Raw genomic sequence first — 19534 nt, 5'->3', positions numbered from 1 at the left:
TAACCTTCCTTCTACTCTCTAACTCTGTTAGTTCAGTTGTTTTGATTTTTAGGTTCCACAAATGAGTGAGAACTTCTGACGTTTGTCTTTCTGTGCTTGGCTTATTTCACTTAACAGAATAGCCTCCAGTTCCATCCATGTTGTTGCAAATGACAGGATCTCATTCTTTTTATGGCTGAATAGTATGTAAGTATCACATTTCTTTATCCATTCATCTGTTGATGGACACGTAGGTTGCTTCCAAATCTTGGCTATTGTGAACAATGTTGCAACAAACACAGGAGTGCAAATATCTGTTTTACATACTAATTTCCTTTCTTTGAGGTATACACCCAGCAGTGGGATTGCTTGTACATATGGTATTTTTAGTTTTTTGAGGGACCTCCAAACTGTTCTCCATAGTGATTCTACCAATTTACATTCCCACCAACAGTGTATGAGGATTCCTTTTCTCCACATTCTTACTAGAATTTGTTATTGCCTGTCTTTTGGATTCAAGCCATTTTAACTGGGAAGAGATGATATCTCATTGTAGTTTTGATGAGCATTTCTCTGATAATCAATGATATTGAACACCTTTTTATATGCCTGTTTGCTATTTGTATGTCTTCTTTTGAGAAATATCTATTCAAATACTTTGCCCATTTTTTATCAGATTATTAGACTTTTTTCCTATAAATTGAGTTCCTTATATATTCTGGTTATTAATCCCTTGTCAGATGTAGAGTTTGCAAATGTTTTCTCCCATTCTTTTGGTTGTCTCTTCACTTTATTGACTGTTTCCTTTGCTGTGCAGAAGCAGTTTAACTTGGTGTGATTCCATTTGTCCATTTTTGCTTTGGTTGCCTGTGCTTGTAGGGCATTACTCAATAAATTTTTGCTCAGGCCAGTGCCCTAGAGAGTTTCTTCAATGTTTTCCTTTAGTAGTTTCATAGTTTGAGGTCATAGATTTAAATCTTTAATCCATCCTGATTTAATTTTTGTACATGGTGAGGGCTAGGGGTCTAGTTTCATTCTTCTGCATATGGATATCCAGTTTTCTCAGCACCATTTCTTGAAGAGCCTGTCTTTTCCCCAGTGTATGTTCTTTGCACCTTTGTTGAAATGAGTTCAGTAGGTGTGTGGCTTTGTTTCTCTATTCTGTTTCATTGGTCTCTGTGTCTGTTTTTATGTCAGTACCATACTATTTTTGTTACTATAACTCTGGAAGATAATTTGAAGTCAGGTAATGTAATTCCTCCAGTTTTGTTCTTTTTGCTTAGGATAGCTTAGGCTGTTCTGAGTCTTTTTTGGTTCCATATAAATTTTAGGATTTTTTTTTCTATTTCTATAAAGAATGTCATTGGTATTTTGATAGGAATTAATTGGTTTGGGTAGTATGAACATCTTCACAATAATCATTCTTCCAATCCATGAACATGGAGTATTTTTCCATTTTGGGGTTTCCTCTTCAATTTCTTTCATCAGTATTTTATAGTTTTCATTATAGAGATCTTTTCACTTTGGTTAAGTTGATTCCTAGGTATTTAATTTTATCTGTGCCTAATGTTAATGGGATACTTTTAAAATTTCTTTTCCAAGATTGTTCACTGTTGACATATAGAAATGCTACTAATTTTTGTATGTTGATTTTGTATCCTGCAACTTTACTAAATTTGTTTATCAGTTCTAATAGTTTTTTGTAGTCCCCACATTTCTCCAAATATAACATAATATCATCTGCAAACAAAGATAAATTGAGTTCTTCTTTTCTAATTTGGATGCCCTTTATTTATTTCTCGTCTGATTGTTCCAGCTAGGACTTCCAGTACTGTGTTGAATAACAGTGGTGAAACTGGGCATTCTTGTTGTGTTCCAGATCTTACAGGAAAGCCTTTCAGGTTTTCCCCACTCAGTATGATACTAGCTGTGGGTGTATCATATATGCCTTTTATTATGTTGAAGTATATTCCTTCTATACCTAATTTTTTTGAGGGTTTTTATCATGAAGGGAGGTTAATTGTATCAAATGCTTTTTCAGCATCAATTGAAATGATCATATGGTTTTTGTCCTTCATTCTATTGGTAAGATGTATCACACTGATTGATTTGCATATGTGGAACCATCCTTGCATCCCAGGGATAAATCCCACTTGGTCATAATGAATGATCTTTTTAATGTATTGTTGAATTAGTTTGCTGGTATTTTGTTGAGGATTTTTGTATCAATATTCATCATAGATACTGGCCTGCAGGTTTCTTTTTTTCGATGTGTCTTTGTCTGGTTTTGGCATCAGGGTAATACTGGCCTCACAGAATGAGTTTGGAAGTATTCCCTCCTTCTCTATTTTTTGGAATAGTTTGAGTAGGATTGGTATTAGTTCTTCTTTAAATGTTTGGTAGAATTCAGCAGTGAAGGCCTTGGGTCCTGGGCTTTTCTTTATGGGAGACTTTTCATTATGGCTTAGGTCTCATTACTTGTTATTGGTCTGTTCAGGTTTTTTTATTTCTTCATGGTTCAATGTTGGTAGGTTATATGTGTCTAGGAATCTGTCCATTTCTTCCAGATTTTCCAATTTGTTGGCACATAGTTGCTCATTGCTACTGATGATCCTTTGAGTTTCTGCAGTATTCATTGTAATGTCTCCTCTTTCATCTCTGAATTTATTTATCTGGATGTTCTCTCTTTTTTTCTTAATTAGTCTGGCTAAAGGTTTGTCAATTTTGTTTAACCTTTCAAAAACACAACTTTTTGTTTCATTGATCTTCTGTGTTGTTTCCATTTCAATTTTATTTGTTTCTGCTATGATCTTTACTATTTGTTTTATTCTAAACAACACAAGATTAGGTTTGGTTTACTCTTCCTTTTCTAGTTCCTTAAGATGAATTGTTAGTTTTTTTTTATTATTATTTGAAGTTTTTCTTCTTTTTTCATGTAGGCACTTATAGCTCTAAACTTCCCTCTTAGTACTGCTTTTGCTGTCTCCCATAGGTTTTTGTATGTTGTGTTTTGATTATTTGTTTCAAGGAATTTTTCAATTTCTTTTTTAATTTCTTCATTGACCCACTGGTCATTCAGGAGCATATAGTTTATGCTTGTATTTGTATCGTTTCCAAAATTCTTCTCGTTATTAATTTCTGGTTTTGTTTCATTGTCATCAGAGAAATGCTTGATATTATTTTAATTTTTTGAATAATTTAAGAATTGTTTTGTGACTCAACATGTGGGCTATCCTTGAGAATGATTTAAGTGTTAGGAAAAGAATATATATTCTGCAGCCATTGGATGAAATGTTCTGTAAATATCTATTAGATTCATTTGGTCTATGGCACAGATTAAGTCTGATATTTCTTTGTTGATTTTCTGTCTGGAAAATCTATCCAATACTAAAAGTAGGGTGTTAAAGTCTCCAGCTATTATTGTATTGGGGTCTGTCTCTCTCTAATAATATTTGCTTTATATATCTGGATGCTCCAGTGTTGGGTGTATATACATTTAAAATTGTTATATCCTTTTGCTGAATTGACCCCTTTATCACCACATAGTTTCCTGTTACCTCAGTTGTTGTCTTGAAATCTATTCTGTCTGATATAAGTATAGCTATTCCTTCTCTTTTTTGGTTTCCTTTGGCATGGAATATCTTTTTCTACCCCTTTACTTTCAGTCTATGTGTGTCTTTATAGATGAAGTATATTTCCGGTAGGCAAAAGATTACTGAGTATTGATTTTTTTTTTTTTTTTTTTTTTTTTTGAGACGGAGTCTTGCTCTGTCACCAGGCTGGAGTGCAGTGGCGTGATCTTGGCTAACTGCAACCTCTGCCTCCCAGGTTCAAGGGATCTCATGCCTCAGCCTCCCAAGTAGCTGGTATTACAGGCATGCGCCACCACACCCAGCTAATTTTTGTACTTTTAGTAGAGACGGGGTTTCACCATGTTGGCCAGGATGGTCTCGATCTCCTGACCTCGTGATCTGCCCATCTCCACCTCCCAAAGTGCTGGGAATACAGGTGTAAGACACCATGCCCAGCCTGTTTTTTGTTGTTTTTTTTTTTGTTTCTTTTTTTGTAGTTGTTTGTTTGTTTGCTTGTTTTTACCTATTCAGCCAGTCTATGTCTTTTGATTGGAAAGCTTAGTCCATTTACATTCAATGTTATTATTATAAATAAGGTCTTACTCCTGGCATCTTGTTATTTGTTTTCTGGTCTTCTCTTCTTTCTTTCCTTCCTGTCTTCCTTTTACTGAAGATGACTTTCTCTGATAATATGTTTTAGTTTCTTGCTTTTTATTTTTTGTGTACCTGTCATATGTTTTTGGATTGAGGTTACTATGAGGCTTGCAAATACTATCTTATAATCTATTATTTTCAGCCAATAACAACTTAGCACTGTTTACATAAACAAACAAGCAAGCAAAAAGAAAATGAATAAACACTCTGCCTTAACTTCCTATCACTTTTTAACTTTGTGTTGTTTCTATTCATATCTTATTGTACTGCCTATGTCTTGAAAAGTTGTTGTAGCTATTATTTTTGATTGGTTCATCATTTAGTCTTTTTCCTTAAGATAAGAGTAGTTTACATATAACAGTACAGTATGATAATGTTCTGTGTTTTCTGTGTATCTACTACTAAGAGTGAATTTTGTACCTTTGGATGATTTCTTCTTACTCATTAACATTCTTTTCTTTCTGATTAAAGTACTCCCTTAGCATTTCTTACAGGACAGGTCTGGTGTTAATGTAATCCCTCAGCTTTTGTTGGTCTGGAAAGATCTTAATTCTTCTTCATGTTTGAAGGCTATTTCTGCTGACTATACTATTCTAGGATAAAAGTTTTTTTTTCCTTCAGCACTTTAAATATGTCATCCCACTCTCTCCTGGCCTGTAAGGTTTCCACTGAAAAATTTGCTGCCAGACATATTAGAGCTCCATTGTATGTGTTTGGTTTATTTTCTCTTGCTGCTTTTAGGATCTTTTCTTTATTCTTGACCTTTGGGAGTTTGATTATGAAATGCCTTTAGGTAGTCTTCTTTGGGTTAAATCCGCTTAGTGTTCTATAACCTTCTTGTACTTGCATATCGATATCTTTAGGTTTGGAAAGTTCTCTATTATTATCTATTTGAATAAATTTTTTATCCCTATCTCTTTCTCTACCTCCTCTTTAAGGTCAATTACCTTAGATTTGCCATTTGAGACTATTTTCTAGATCCTACAGACATGTTTCATTGGTTTTTTCTTTTTTCTTTTGTCTCGTCTGTGTAGTTTCAAAAGCCTGTCTTCAAGCTTACTAATTATTTCTTCTGCTATCAACAGACTCTGATGCATTCTTCAGTTTGTCAATTGCATTTTTCAGCTCCAGAATTTCTGCTTGATTCTTTTAAATTATTTTAATCTATTTGTTAAATTTATCTGATAGGATTCAGAATTCCTTCTCTGTTATCTTCAATTTCTTTGAGTTTCCTCAAAACAGCTATTTTGAGTTCTCTGTCTGAAAGGTCACCTACTTCTGTTTCTCCAGAATTGATCCTTGGTGCCTTATTTAGTTACTTTCTTAAAGTCATGTTTTCTTGGGCAGCCTTGACATTGTAGATGAGCGTATGAGTCTTGGCATTGAAGAGTTAGGTATTTATTGTAGTCTTTGCAGTTTGGGCTTGTTTGTATTCATCCTTCCTGGGAAGGCTTTCCAGATACTCAAAAAAAAAAAAAAAAAACTTAGTTGTTGTGATCTAAGCTGTATCTACTTTAGGCACCCCAAGCTAGCAATGCTCTGGTTCCTGTAGACTCATAGAGTCTTGAACATGATCCAGAATTCTCTGGATTACCAGACAGAGAATCTTGTTCTCTTGCTTTACATTCTCCCAAAGTCTCTCTGTTCTGAGCCACCTAGAGCTGGGGGTGGAGTGACACAAGCACTCCTTTGGCCACCAGCACTAGGATTGTGCTGAGTCAGATCTAAAGCCAGCACAGCACTGAATATCACCCAAGGTTTTCTATAACCACTCCCTGGCTACCGTCCATGTTTTCTCAAGGCCCTGGGGCTCCAAAATCAGTAGATGGCAAAGCCAGCCATGCCTGTGTCCTTCCCTTCAGGGTGGCAAGCTTCCCAGTCTCCAGACAGGTCCAGAGGTGCTGTCCAGAAGCAAGGGACTACGGTCAAAAACCTTAGAAGTCTACCTGGTGTTCTATTGTACTGCAGCTGAGCTGACACTCAAACCACAAGATGCAGTCCTTCCCACTCTCCCCTACACTTTCCAAAGGCAGAGAAGCCTCCCCCGTGGCCACTGCCACCACAAGCCCACAGTGAGTACTGCCAGACTGCCACCAATGTACCCTTAAGGCCCAAGGGCTCTTCAGTCAGTTTATGTTGAATGCTGCCTGGTCTGGGACTCACCCTTCAGGGCAGTGAGCTCCCCTCTGGCCCAAAGCAGGTTCAGAAATACCATCCAAGAGCCAAATGCTGGGATTGGGGACCCCAAAAGCCCACTTGGTGCTCCACCCCACTGTGGCCAGAGCTGGTACCTAAGGTGCAAGACAAAGTCACCTGTACATTTCTCTCCACTTTTCTCAAGCAGAAAGATCCTTGCCCCACAGCCACCACAGCTGAGAATGTGCTGAGTCTCACCTGAAGCCAGCAAGTCTCAGCGTATCACCAAGGCCCACAGTGTTTTGGATTGTTTACCCGGTTATGGATGCTGGTTATTTAAGGTCCAATGGCTTTTCAAGTTAGCAGGACTGCCAGGACTGGGTTCTTCTTTTCAGGGCAACAGGTTCCCTTTTAGCCCATGGTGTGTCTAGAAATGTCATCCATGAGCTAGGGCCTCACACCTCTAATGGGTTCCCTATCCTGCTGTGGTTGAGCTGGTATCCAAGATGTAAGACAAAGTCCTCCTCACTCTTCCCTGTTCTCTCCTCAAGCAGAATGAAGGGGTCTCTTTTGGAGCTGCGATCTGTGAAGCCTGTGGTTAGGGGAGGAGTGATGCCAGCACTTCCTTAACCACCCCAACTGATGTCTCAGTAGGTCTAATTCCCCCCACAGCGCGCTGGCTCTGGGCCCATTTCAGCATTAGGACTCACCTAGCAGTTGCAGTTCTTGTGGCCCAGGCTGCCTTTGAAATTTATTTGAGGCCCCAGAGCACTTTAGCCCACAGTGGCAAGGCTTATGGGAACTTATGTTCCCATGCTGGGATTGGCAATTACTCTCAGTCTTGGGCTGGTTTAAATGCCCCCTCCATGGCTGGGTGTCATGTGAGTTTGGCCTGTTTTTTACCTTCTACTTGAACAAGGCAGCACTGAGTCAATGTCTCATAATTACTCCACTCTTCCTTTCCCCAGAGCATAGAAATGCTTCACACCATGCCACCACTGCAAGTGGTTTAAGGAGGGGTGGCATTGGTGATTCAGGACTGTTTCTCCTGCCTCTTCTGTGCCTCTTTCAGTGATACAAAGTTAAAACCAGGTACTGTGAGTGCTCACATGATTATTGGAGCTTATGAAGGTGCTTTTGTGTGTGTATAGATAGTTCTTAAATTGGTGTCCTTGTTGGAGGGACAATTAGTGGAGCCCTCCAGTCCACCATCTTGCTTCTGAAGAATTATCTCTAAATGTTGATGAATGTAGTCATCTTTGGGAGAAATGAGTTTGTTTTGAGAATGTTTATGTGAGGTGAATAGTTACTAGTATTTTCCAGTCATTAATTAAAATAAAAAATAAATAAAATTAAAAATTTAAATATTTTCCAAAACAAGAAACTGAATATAAAGTTTCTAAAAATATGATTAGTTTATTTAGCATTCAACAAATATATATTGGAGCCTACAATGCAAAAGATACTGCCTCGGATGCCATGCAAGATTCTAAGAAAGCCTACAGTACACTCTTTCCCTTCAAATATTTTATAAACTGGAAGAGATAGAAGTAGGATAATTAGGCTACCAAAATATGCAATATTAAGCAGACAATGATCAGGGTAAAAAAGCAGGCACAAACTAAGTTTTATAGGGTTTCAGAGAAGGAATTGATTCCACTGCATTTGAGCAAAAGTGCTCTTGGGGGAGCTAGGTAAAGGAAAGAATATAAACAAAGGGGCAGAAATTGGAAATTACTGGGAAATTTTGAGCCATCACATTTGATTAGAAAATAGATTAATTTTAGGGAAGTCCTGAGAATTGAGCCTTGAAAGATCTTTAAGACCTTAAATGCCATTTTAAAGGTTAGCTTAATTTAGCAGAGAGGTGAGACCAGCAAAGACTCATCAGGCTTTAAGAAGATCAATTTGCTGAAGTGGGTGGATCATTTGAGGTCAGGAGTTCGAGACCAGCCTGGCCAACATAATGAAGCCCCATCTTTACTAAAAATATAAAAAATTAGCCGGGCATGGTGGCGGGTGCCTGTAATCCCAGCTAATTGGGAGGCTGAGGCAGGAGAATTGCTTGAACCTGGCAGAAGTTGCAGTGAGCCAAGATTGCGCCACTGCACTCCAGCCTGGGTGACAGAGCGAGACTCTGTCTCAGAAAAAATTTTTCAAAGAAGATCAGTTTGTCTGAGTGTGTTAGATAATTGGAAAAGGAGAAAACAAAATCAAGGAAACAGTCACCAAACAGGCTAGTGCAAGCATCCAAGCAGAAAGATAAACTATGCATTCAGGTGAGAGCAACTGCAGTGGAAAGCAGGGAGTAGAGCCAAGAGCCAGTGCAGAAAACAACCAAACAGAAAAAGTGAGTTAAATAAATAGAGTGATGCAATGCAGAAGCAAATATTTTTAGTTTGCCTGACTCAGGTAACGTTTATACCATTTACAAAAGTAAAGAGGCTGAAAAGGCTGAGTCTGTTTCAAGAAGAGGGGAATGATTTGGGTATTGAACACTCTGGGTTAAGATGCCAGCAGTATACCAAAGGAAAAATCCAGCAGGTAGAATTGAGGGACTATGATCCAGGAGGCAAGAGACCTCTGGAGGCAAGGATTTGGGAGTCATTTCTGTAGAGGTAAGGGGTAGTCACCAAAACCATGGCAGTGCATGAGACAAGGGGAGGGGAGAGTGGAGTAAAGGCAAAAAAGGGAGGAGAGGAGAAGAATCTCAGGAATGCCAAGGAGGCATCATTTAGGAAACTTGAGAAAAACTATCCCTGGTTGAAAGAGAACTACTACTGTAGTGTAGCAGAAAGCATTCATTTCAAGAAGCAAGGGGATGTCAGCAGTGTCCTATGCCCTGTAGTGAGGGAAGGGTGAGAATAAGACTGAGAAAGAAAGAAAAAACTGACTTGGATGGTTTGAGAGTCATCAATGGTAAAATCATTACACCACCAATTATGTTTCAATATTGCAATTTGACCAGAAGTAAGATCCCAATCAGAATTGCAATCTGCAGATTGGAAAGAGATGAGGTGAGAAAGAGGAGCTAGTCAGTGCAGGCTGCTAATTTAACAATTCTAAAAGGAAGGAAAAGAAAGGTAGGGTGCACATTGAGAGGGCATTGTGTGGGAAAGACTGAGGGTCCTTCTTACAGAAAGGGTGAGACTGAAATTACTCAAGAGGAGATCACTGAGTGATATTTGATCATGAGCCCAGGTCAGGGCCTTCAATTTGAAAAGGAGAACAAACCTTCCCCAGATGCCAAAGGAAAGGAAGTGAGTGAAGAACAAAGGAACATTTTGAGACGGAGGGGAATAGTGAGCAGGGAAGATGGATGTTTCCAATGCAGAGGGGGAGCTGGTGGCATTTTAGAGAACTAGGTGGGGAGGGTGAGTCTGAAGATTTGAGAATCATGGAGAAGCTTTAAAACAACCCCTAGGCTGGTGTCAGAGGACACAATAAGAGTAACAAGTAAGGAAGTAAAAGGCTGGTAAGCAGCAGCATAGTTGATTCTGTGTGTGTGTGTGTGTGTGTGTGTGTGTGTGTGTGTGTGTGTGTGTGTGTGTCTGCCTGTCTGTCTCTCTCTCTCTCTCTCTCTCTCTCTCTCTCTCTCTCTCTCTCTCTCTATCTATCTGCCTGTCTGTCTCTTTCTGGACTCCTGGACTCTCAGGATCCTGTGGGCCTTGACTTTCAGATTGGTGACTACTCCCAGCCAGACTTCAAAGATGCAGAGTTGGAACTCCAAGGTTGGCAATTCCAGGCAGTAAGACCATGCCACCTGAGATTGCTGGGAGAGGCTTTTCCAGGCCCCTCCTGCAAGAAAACAGACACCAAAGAACAAGGTAAAGAAGTATGGAAAAACAGGGTTGGACCCTATCCATCTTTTTACTAGTCACTGCACTAAAATGTCAGAATCAGGGAAATGCCTGACCTCGTTTCTTGGGAAGAATGAGGCACATATCAAAATACATAAATCCTAAAAAGCTCGTTGTGAAGGGCAGAGTCCTAATAATTTGTATTTTGATAGCTTTTAAATATTTTTCAAATGGGTGTTTCCAGGAGTAAGGTAAATAGTCCCATTTTTGTGGGGCTTCTGATTAAATTCCAAACATATCAATGTTCTGGGGTGTGTCCAGTGACTCTGATACCTCTCAGCAGGTTTGCCAAGAAAGTGCAAATGTGAGTCTCAGGGAAACAAGGAAACCATTCTCCCAGTAGCAAGTTGCAGGGCTGTGCAAGGGAGAAATGTGCAGACTTTTGTCTCCCCTGTGAAGAAGAGATTAGAATTAGAATGGAATAAATTGTCGATGTGAGCAAGAGCTGTTACTATGTAACAATAACACTTTGTGTTCCATTCAAAGAACTGCAAGCCCTTTGACATGCCCTGAGCTCTTACTTTCTCTCTGGACTCCAAGAAGGGACTTGCTAAGCGCATCCCAGGTCCAGAGAGAATCTGCCCGCACCCCCCACCCCCGCCCCCCGCCCCCTCGCCACGACCAACTTACTGTGCCTCACTCTTTGCTCCTTCTTCACCAGTTACTCTCCTTCTGTTCCTTTTTGCCCACCTCTGCTCAGCCTCCAACACCAAACAGTCCATTTTTGCCTGGAGGAGGAAACAAGACTGTATTGAGCACACAAAAAGACATTTGCTTATTGAGATTGTAATGAGATCCTCAAAAAAGTTGTATAGACAAGTGATAGTCAAAATATTTAACAACACATTCGACACGGTCATCAGCCACCCAGAAACTACAGAAGTTTTACTGAAGCAGAGTGGATTCACCCACTGTGACGGGCATTACTTCTTATTTGCTGGACTGTGGAAAGTTCCCAGGACAGGGTAGGGCATGAGTGCCCAGAGTAGCAGGAATAGGAGATACTTGAGTGGCAGTAACTTTTACCAGCTGGGACAGAAGTATTTCAATGTTTCACCAACCAGTACTGCTGAATCTTAGCCATGACTTATGTCCATATAATAGATAAAAATTGGGCCATGGAGGTGTTAAATAACTCATCCAAAGCCACCCATTGAGTGCTAGGATTGGGACCCAGTGACTCTACTGTGAGGCCTTTTCCACACTCCCCACCTCACTGGCTCAGTACCTCTTCTCCCTCATCTGTCTCTTTCTGCTTAGAGATGAGAATATGTAGTAGTCTGGAGAGGGCATGCAAGGGCACCTGAAGACCCTCTCCCAGGAAAACTCTAAAGGTGTGTCTGTTAACTCTCTGCTGTGGTCCCACTAAAAGTATTCTCCGTAGTAGCAAGGTTAGGGGAGAAGATTGAGAAGAAAGCCTATTATTTCCTCTTTTCCCCCTAATGAGGCAAGAACCTTGTTTCTTTTGTTCCTCATGATGTTGTCAGAGTACAGCACATGATTGATTCCTAATACAATTTTGTCAAATGAATGAGTGAGTGAGTGAATGAGTGAGTGAGTAAAAAGGTATTTCTTCCACTTCTATAGTACCTTATATTTCTGCAAAGTGCCTTTATACTTTATCTCATTGGACCCTCAAGGAGTGTTTAGAAACATTTTTATTTCAGTTTACTAATAAAGAAGCTCGGATGCAGAGAGGAACACTAATTATCACAATACTAACTGGGGTGGAGCCAGGATTGCGACTTGCCAGCTCCCTGTCCAGGGCCCTTTCTCCCACATTGCAGTATCCCCTAAATATGAATAAAAGTTAATATAATTGGAAAAATGAGGTTACTTGTAATTTACAGCCTGTAATATACTTAGTGATGAGCAATGGCAAACAGGAGAACTGGATCTTCTTCTGTCTCCCGTTTACCACCCCAACCCCACCGCAAGTCACCAGACCCAAGCCAGTCCCTCACTCCCTCCAGGGCTCAACCTTGTGACCCTTGGGTAGCATCTGACTTCACCTCTTTGTGATTTTTTACTGAATTTCCACAGGAAATTATGTTTTGTGAACTATGCCAGCTGGCATAGCCCTCCCTTGCACAGCACCCTCACTAAGTTCAAATATGACACTTAATGGAAAGAAAAGACTGCATCCATCTACCTAACTAGGGAAAATATCTACTCATCAACTCCCTCCATGAAGCCTTTAGAGGATAAGGGAATTGAGTGGCTTCATACAGTTGCCTTCCTCTTTGTTCTCTTTTTATCTAATACAGAAGTTTTCAAAGTGTGGTTTCTGTACCAGAAGCATTGGCATCACCTGGGAACTTGTTAGAAATGCAAATTCTAGGCTGGGCGCAGTGGCTCACGCCTGTAATCCCAACACTTTGGGAGGCCGAGGCAGGCAGATCACGAGGTCAAGAGTTCAAGACCGGCCTGACTAACATGGTGAAACCTCACCTCTACTAAAAATACAAAAATTAGCCAGGTGTGGTGGTGCACACCTGTAATCCCAGCTACTCAGGAGGCTGAGGCAGGAGAATTGCTTGAACCCCGGAGGCAGAGGTTGCAGTGAACTGAGATAGTGCTACTGCACTCCAGCCTGGGTGACAGAGTGAGACTCCATCTCAAAAAAAAAAAATAAATAAATAAAGAAATGCGAGTTCCAGTGTCCCAGACCCACAAGAATTAGAGGTTCTGGGGGTGAGGTCCAGGGATTTGTGTTTTAAAAGCCCTGTCGGTGATTCTGGTGCATGCCAAAGTTTGAGTACTACTATTTTCTTATGTCCTGTTTTTTTCCTATCTAAGCCAGGGAATCACTTACTTTCTGTTCCCAGAGGTCTTTGGTGGACCCCTCTGCTCACTCAGTGCTCTAACCCTTCTTCTTTCCACATGAAAGCCTGTACTATGGTTCTGTTAATGACAATTTTAATTTACCTCCATGAAGTAAGGGCTGGAATAGATGATCTGGTGAGATTTTTTGAAATCTAGAAGCTCTGATTCTTCAGGGGAGCCATATCAAAGCAGATGGCTTAAGGAGGGCAAAGGAGGACTTCTGCCTTGTGAGTTTCCTTTTGCTGTAGGCCCCAGGACTGGAGTGAAGTGAGGACACAGGCCAGTTGCCAACTATGGTTACGGCCCCAGGAGATCTTTGATGTTCTCCCCTTGCTGTCTAGGTCCCTGTTTTCAAGAATTTATCAGAATGACCCAGACTTAGTAAATCTGTTCTATGTACCTTGGACAAAATAACTGCTGAGTCAATCCTGTAAGGAGTCTTGGATTGCCAGCCTAAAAACCTGTTTATAGTTGACTTCCTCTGGCAAACTGCTATGAGATGCAAAAAAACAGCATCATCAGTTTGGCACATACTGGACCATTCTCAGCATTTGCATTAGGTAGGTAGTCAGTGCAAGAACAGATCACAAATATATTTTAAAAATCCAATTCCTGCCTCTCTGTCTCCCTCCCCTCTTGCCCCTTCTATATTTTCCAAAATCCCTACCCCTGAAAAGATGACTTGAAGACTCAACAGGAGGATGATTTTTCCACATTCTGAAATTCTGACAATTAAGAAAGAAAGATCCTAATCTCTGTTCAGTTGCCAGGCTCTGATATGCTTTTCCTGTTTAAGCATTCATAATCTACCACTCATTGATACATCTTGCCAACTACAAAAACTACTTAACTCCTGACCTTTGTAAACTTTCCTCCCTCACAAGGTTCTTCAAGTTATGAAAGCACAGTAAGTGGATGGAGATGATTGGGTAGGATAAGACAAAAATGTTAGTCTCCACTGAAGATAACAGGCAAAGGTCCTAGAATTAAAGTTATGAGACATGAGTTCTAACCAGGCCTTTGCCTCTGGTGACATCCTGAGATATTGGGGCAGGTTACTTCCCCATTGTGGGTCACTGCGAAACAAGGGGCTTCAGCAAAGCAGATCTCTAAGCTGTTTTCCAACTCTGATATGGTGACTAAGCAGGTATGACATAGATATGTCCTGTTTAGGAGTGTCAGTGTCCTTATCTGAAAACCCAGGTTTGGTGATAGCAGGTAGACTTCAACTTTTTGCCAATTGGTTTTCGCTGAGAGGAATGTGGGAAAGGGTGTAATGGTTGACTAACAGGTCTGCCATAGATGTGATAGGAAGAAATTCCCAGAGTTTTGTGTGTTTCTTTCATAGTTCTTTCGCCCTAGCAATAGTTGTATGTATCTGTTTAGTGTATTTTAGCTGCCTAAAATATAAGTGCCATCCCGTCATAGAGCCCTGTGCCTGACACAGAGCCTATTAGCTGATAGGTGCTCAATATTTTTTGAATAAATGAATGAGTCTAAATAGCTTAAGGACCGTATCTTGAGCATTTGGCCAACAGCAGGACAAGGCTCCACTAGTACTGGACTCACATAGTTAGAATAACCTCATTCCATTTGTCCTTTAAGGGTCCTTGCCAAACCTGATTCTTATTTCCTCTAAGACTGACCTCAGACCTTCAACTTCATAGGGGAAAGGGCAGTGGTGGTAGGAGGAGGAATTTTCCTGGGATTCAATGAATACCTCTTTTTGATACTGCTTCTTTATAGTATTCACTGAGAGTTTGAATAGGGGGTAAGTAGCTTGAGAAAACGGGTTCTGACTTTCCAACCACCAGGTGAATTTTCATTGACGTAAAGACCCCATTCTCCTCCCTTTTAGTCTTCATTTATGTTGGAGGGTTCATACTGTTATAGTTGGGTATTAGGCTTTACGTAAGGTTGGGAGGAAAGAAGGCTTTCTTGGTGAGCTTGGCTCTGTGGCTTGGCAGTCGCACAATTAAATGACTTTATTCCCAAAACAGATGTTCAAGTTGTTTTAATAATATCTTATGATCCCTCCTCTAAATAAAACAAAAAATCACTCCATCAGAAAGTTCTTCAGGATTAGAAGTTCAAACTCTGCTGTCTGATTTTACCCACCAGAGGGTAGCACCAAGATGAATTTGGAATAAATCCCTGAGAAAACTCAGACATGGTTTGGGATGATTTGTTCTGGATTCTGTGTGAAAGTACCTGAGGCCACCAAGATATGTCTCTAAATGCCTCATAAAGTTTCTGGGAAGACACTGGTCTCCACTTGTTCCTAGGAATAGTGTTGAGACATTGAGTAAATCCTTATAAAGTGGCATGGATTCATATTCTCCATGAACAATCAGTTTACCCAGAAGTTTATTGTGAGCCCTTCCACTGTATGTGAAGTTTGGATTCAATGATTATTGAGGTCTCTTTAACTCAATCATTCTAAGACTTCTTGTAAGAATAATGTATTGACTTTTCCAGACTTGTCCAAATCTGCATTTAATTGGCCTGCAATAAGAAGTGGCTATTGACTTGAGGTATATCCTGGAGAGTCAAAGGATGACACATTTGGTCATATCCTAGAGAGTCAAATGATGACACTTTTGGTCATATATTAGAAAGTCAAAGGATGACACATTTGCGCATATCCTAGAGAGTCCAACGATGACACATTTGATCATATCCTAGAGAGTCAAAGGATGTCAAATGTGTCATCCTTTGACTCTCTAAACTATACCCTGAGTTCATATGAACTTGGTAGGATTGGGGGCTTTCTCTGAGGCCCAGGGACCCTTCTGTTTAGCTTTACATTTTCCCATAACACTCTGTATAATTTTCTCAAATTTTTGACAATTCTGGTTAATGTATCTAGACCCCCCAGTAGTAGACTGTAAGCCTCTTATGAACAAGAACCGTGTATATTTTTTTTCACCTTGGTATTCCCAGTCCACAGAAGAATGCTTAACATAAACAGGTCCTCTCTTAATAAGTATCTATTGAAAGAATGAATAAATGACTAGATGTAATAAGTGAATAAACATTCTTTCCATCAGGCTCTTGAAAAATGGGAAGTAAATTACACATCCCCAAAAATTAACTAATTAAACAAACTATTTATTCAGCACTGGGTGCTAGGCACTATGAGTGGAAAAGTTTCTGATCTTAAGGAACTCAGACTCATGGGAGCAGCAGACAAGAAACTGGATGATTACAGTTGAGGTCACATGAAAAAGGAGAACAAAAGGTTTTATAGAATTACAGAAAGCAATATCTGGCTTCTTCTGGAAAAGATTAGGGACAACTTCTCAAAGAGGATGATGCCCAGTCCTGAAGAGTAAATGAGGGAAACTCAGTGCAAGGAATGTCTCCTTCAAGCAAAAGATCCTCAACACAAAGGGTGAAACTTGTTTATCCCTCCACGTGCATAAATCTCCTATAGGGCCAATAGTCAAAGAGAGGATACAATATAGCACAGAAGTTAAGAATACAGTCCCTGGACCGGGCGCAGTGGCTCATGCCTGTAATCCCAGCACTTTGGGAGGCCGAGGCAGGCGGATCACTAGGTCAGGAGATCAAGACGAGCGTGGCCAATACGGTGAAACCCCATCTACTAAAAATACAAAAATTAGCTGGGTGTGGTGGCACACAGCTGTAATCCCAGCTACTCAGGAGGCTGAGGCAGGAGAATTGCTTGAACCCAGGAGGTGGAGGTTGCAGTGAGCGAAGATAGAGCCACTGCACTCCAACCTGGGTTACAGAGTGAGACTCTGTCTCAAAAAAATAAAAAACAAAAATTACAGCCCCTGAAGGTAGATTCCCTAGGCAGGAATTCTGCTTCTATCCTGCCTATAAGCTTGTGTGACCTTAAGCAAGTTAATTAAACTCTTTACATCTCCATTCTTTATTTCAGAACTAAAATAATAGTACTGATAACCTCATGGGATTGCATGAGGAAGAAATAAAATGAAACATGAAAAGCACTCAGAATAGACCTTAACAAAAGGAAAGACTCAATAAATATTAATTATTATTATAATCATTGTTACTACTGTTGAGTACTTCCTGGATGTGACATGTTGAGGGCATGGTTTGGGGACAATAAGAGATGGAACAGATGAGTTAGTGAGGGACCACACTGATTTGATTTGAAACAACAATAACAACTGTATCAACCCTATCTAAATAATGACCACTAATTTTGGTGCACCCACTGATCTTCCGTGGGATTGTTCTCATATTATTAATTGTTTGAAGAATGAAATTAAAAATCCATGGGTCTTACCATATTACATTCAAACCTGCCTCCTCGGTTCCTAGAACAGATTGGGAAATTAAATCATCCACATCATCGTCATCATCACCATCATCATATTTATAAATATGTGAAGAGCAATCTACCTTTCCAAATTAAATGTTCATTGTCAAATTTGTTTTAAAAACCTTTACTAAGCACCTTCCGTGTGCATGGGAGTCAGAGATGACTATGACATGACTCCTGCCTGCACGGCTCAGAGCCTTATAAAATAGGCAGATATATGCACAGAAAATTAGACTATAATAAGTGTGATAACTGCCACAGGAGAAGTACGCGCAAAAGCACAGAGAAGCAAGAGATAAAGCATAGAGAAAGAGCAACATGTCTGCCTAGGAGTCAGGAAAGTCTCCACAGGCAATAAATAAGAATATGGTGAACAAAGATAGGAAAGTCAAGGACTCTCAGATTCAACCTGATATACCTTCTACGCTTATTAAAGTACCTTGTACACAATGGAGCTCAATAAATAGCTATAAAAGTGTTGAATGGATGAATAGAGAAGCTAGTTTTTCACATCACTCCCTTCTTTTCTACCCCTCCCAACTACATCTTCCCACACACTCTCTTCTACCCCAAGGGGAACCTCCATTTCATTACTCATCCCTTGCACTGCCTAGCCTTTTGTAAACCTCTCAAAAGCCTTCTCTATGATTGCCTAACAAACACAGGTGTCCTGGTTAAAGCTTACAACATTTAAATCATGAGGAAAGACTGACACAAATGAGTATTTCTTGCTAATTTTCCACTGGAGAATGTGAAGTGCTGAATCAGAGAAGAACAGTGTGTGCTATGTGGTCACATAATGACCATGCCATGTCCCACCTGGCCTTTCCCCCTGAACAACCCAGCAGAATGTCAGGTCTGGTGAATTTCACATCTATGTACACAGACACCAAGCACAAGTTCCCACTAGTGCCAAGAGGGCTGAACATGACATGCCCTGTGTCTCCTCACCACTGTATCAGAAGGAAAGGAGATCTTATAGGAATCTAGGGAAATGGGACCCCTAAACCATTCCACAGCTGCAAGCAATGCTGTGCTTCACTCAGGGCCAGCCCCTGCATCTTGTTCAATCCATCTTTCTACTCTGCACCAGCCCCACTTCTGCTCTATCCCTTGGGCACCCAGATTTTATTCTCAGTACTAGACAGCCAACAGTCTAAAACGTCTTCCAAATAAAATCACATTTCCTTCTCTTTTCATCCCCAGGGCATGGTGTGTCCAAACCATGTGCAAACTTCACTCCTCATAAGTCACTTGTCTAATTGACAGAAGAGGGGGTTTTGTTTAGAGACTGACAAAATTCAAAAATTCATGTGACCCATATTCTCCAAATTCCTTGATGGTCTATTGTTTCCCAGGAACTTTGCAACTCCCACAGGCTAGAGAAGGGTCAAGTGACCGCACCCCAATTCTCTCCCCATTTCTCTAGTCTGAGAAGATGAGAAGTTCATCTGGGATTTACAGTGAAGTGTAATTTGTGTGGCCTCCTTGCATGAGGATGTGATGAAGTATTTGGATGCAGAGCTTTTTCTTATCTATAGATTGCACACAGTGCAATACAGAGAACTCTCCATGTTTTGAAAGAAAGAAAGAGAGAAAAGAAGGAAGAAAGAAAGAGAAAGAAAGGAAGGAAGGAGGGAGAGGGAGAGAGAAAGAAGGAGGGAGAGAGGAAGAGAGAAAGGAAAGAGAGAAAGAGAAAGGAAAGAGAGAAAGAAAGAGAAAGAAAGAAAGAGAAAGAAAGAATGAAGGGAGGGAGGGAGGGAAGGAAGGAAGGGAGAAAGGAAGGAGAAAAAGAATGAGAGGGAAGGATGGAAGGAAAAAGGGGGACTTTCAAATATTTGAGGAAGCATTCTAGAAAGTTCTAGGGGGACTAGAAAGTGGTAAGATTACAGAGAGAGAGAGAAATGCAGAGAGTAAGAGAATTGAAGCAGAAGGAAAAACAGGAGGATGAAAACAATAATAACAGGAGGCTCATATCCGGAAGTTTCTTCCTTTCAGCCGATCTGCCACTTAAATGCAATTCTAAGCTCAGAGAAGAGGTAGTCAATATCTGTGCACTGACTTCTGTAGGGTCTCAGAATACCATGGAGTAAATGGGTATCTAAGAAGAGGGTGACATCATGTTTCAGGGAGAGCCCTTCTTTATAATCAGAACCTGTGGGTTGTGGTCTCTGTTCTGCTGACAAAGCAAA

At 40.4% G+C, this 19534-nt stretch overlaps 1 long non-coding RNA gene across 1 annotated transcript in view; it reads right to left on the bottom strand.

Moving 5' to 3' along the window:
• The window catches only part of LINC02456 (long intergenic non-protein coding RNA 2456), a 432422-nt gene that overhangs the window by 10961 nt on the left and 401927 nt on the right, over positions 1-19534 (bottom strand). The window contains exon 12 of the long non-coding RNA XR_007063427.1: positions 10832-10929. This is a non-coding gene — a long non-coding RNA (long intergenic non-protein coding RNA 2456). The remainder of the gene's footprint in view (positions 1-10831; positions 10930-19534) is intronic.

Source organism: Homo sapiens, chromosome 12 (genome assembly GCF_000001405.40).
Source record: "Homo sapiens chromosome 12, GRCh38.p14 Primary Assembly".
In the NCBI taxonomy this organism is placed as follows: domain Eukaryota; kingdom Metazoa; phylum Chordata; class Mammalia; order Primates; family Hominidae; genus Homo; species Homo sapiens.
This window is presented reverse-complemented; position numbering and strand designations above follow the sequence as displayed.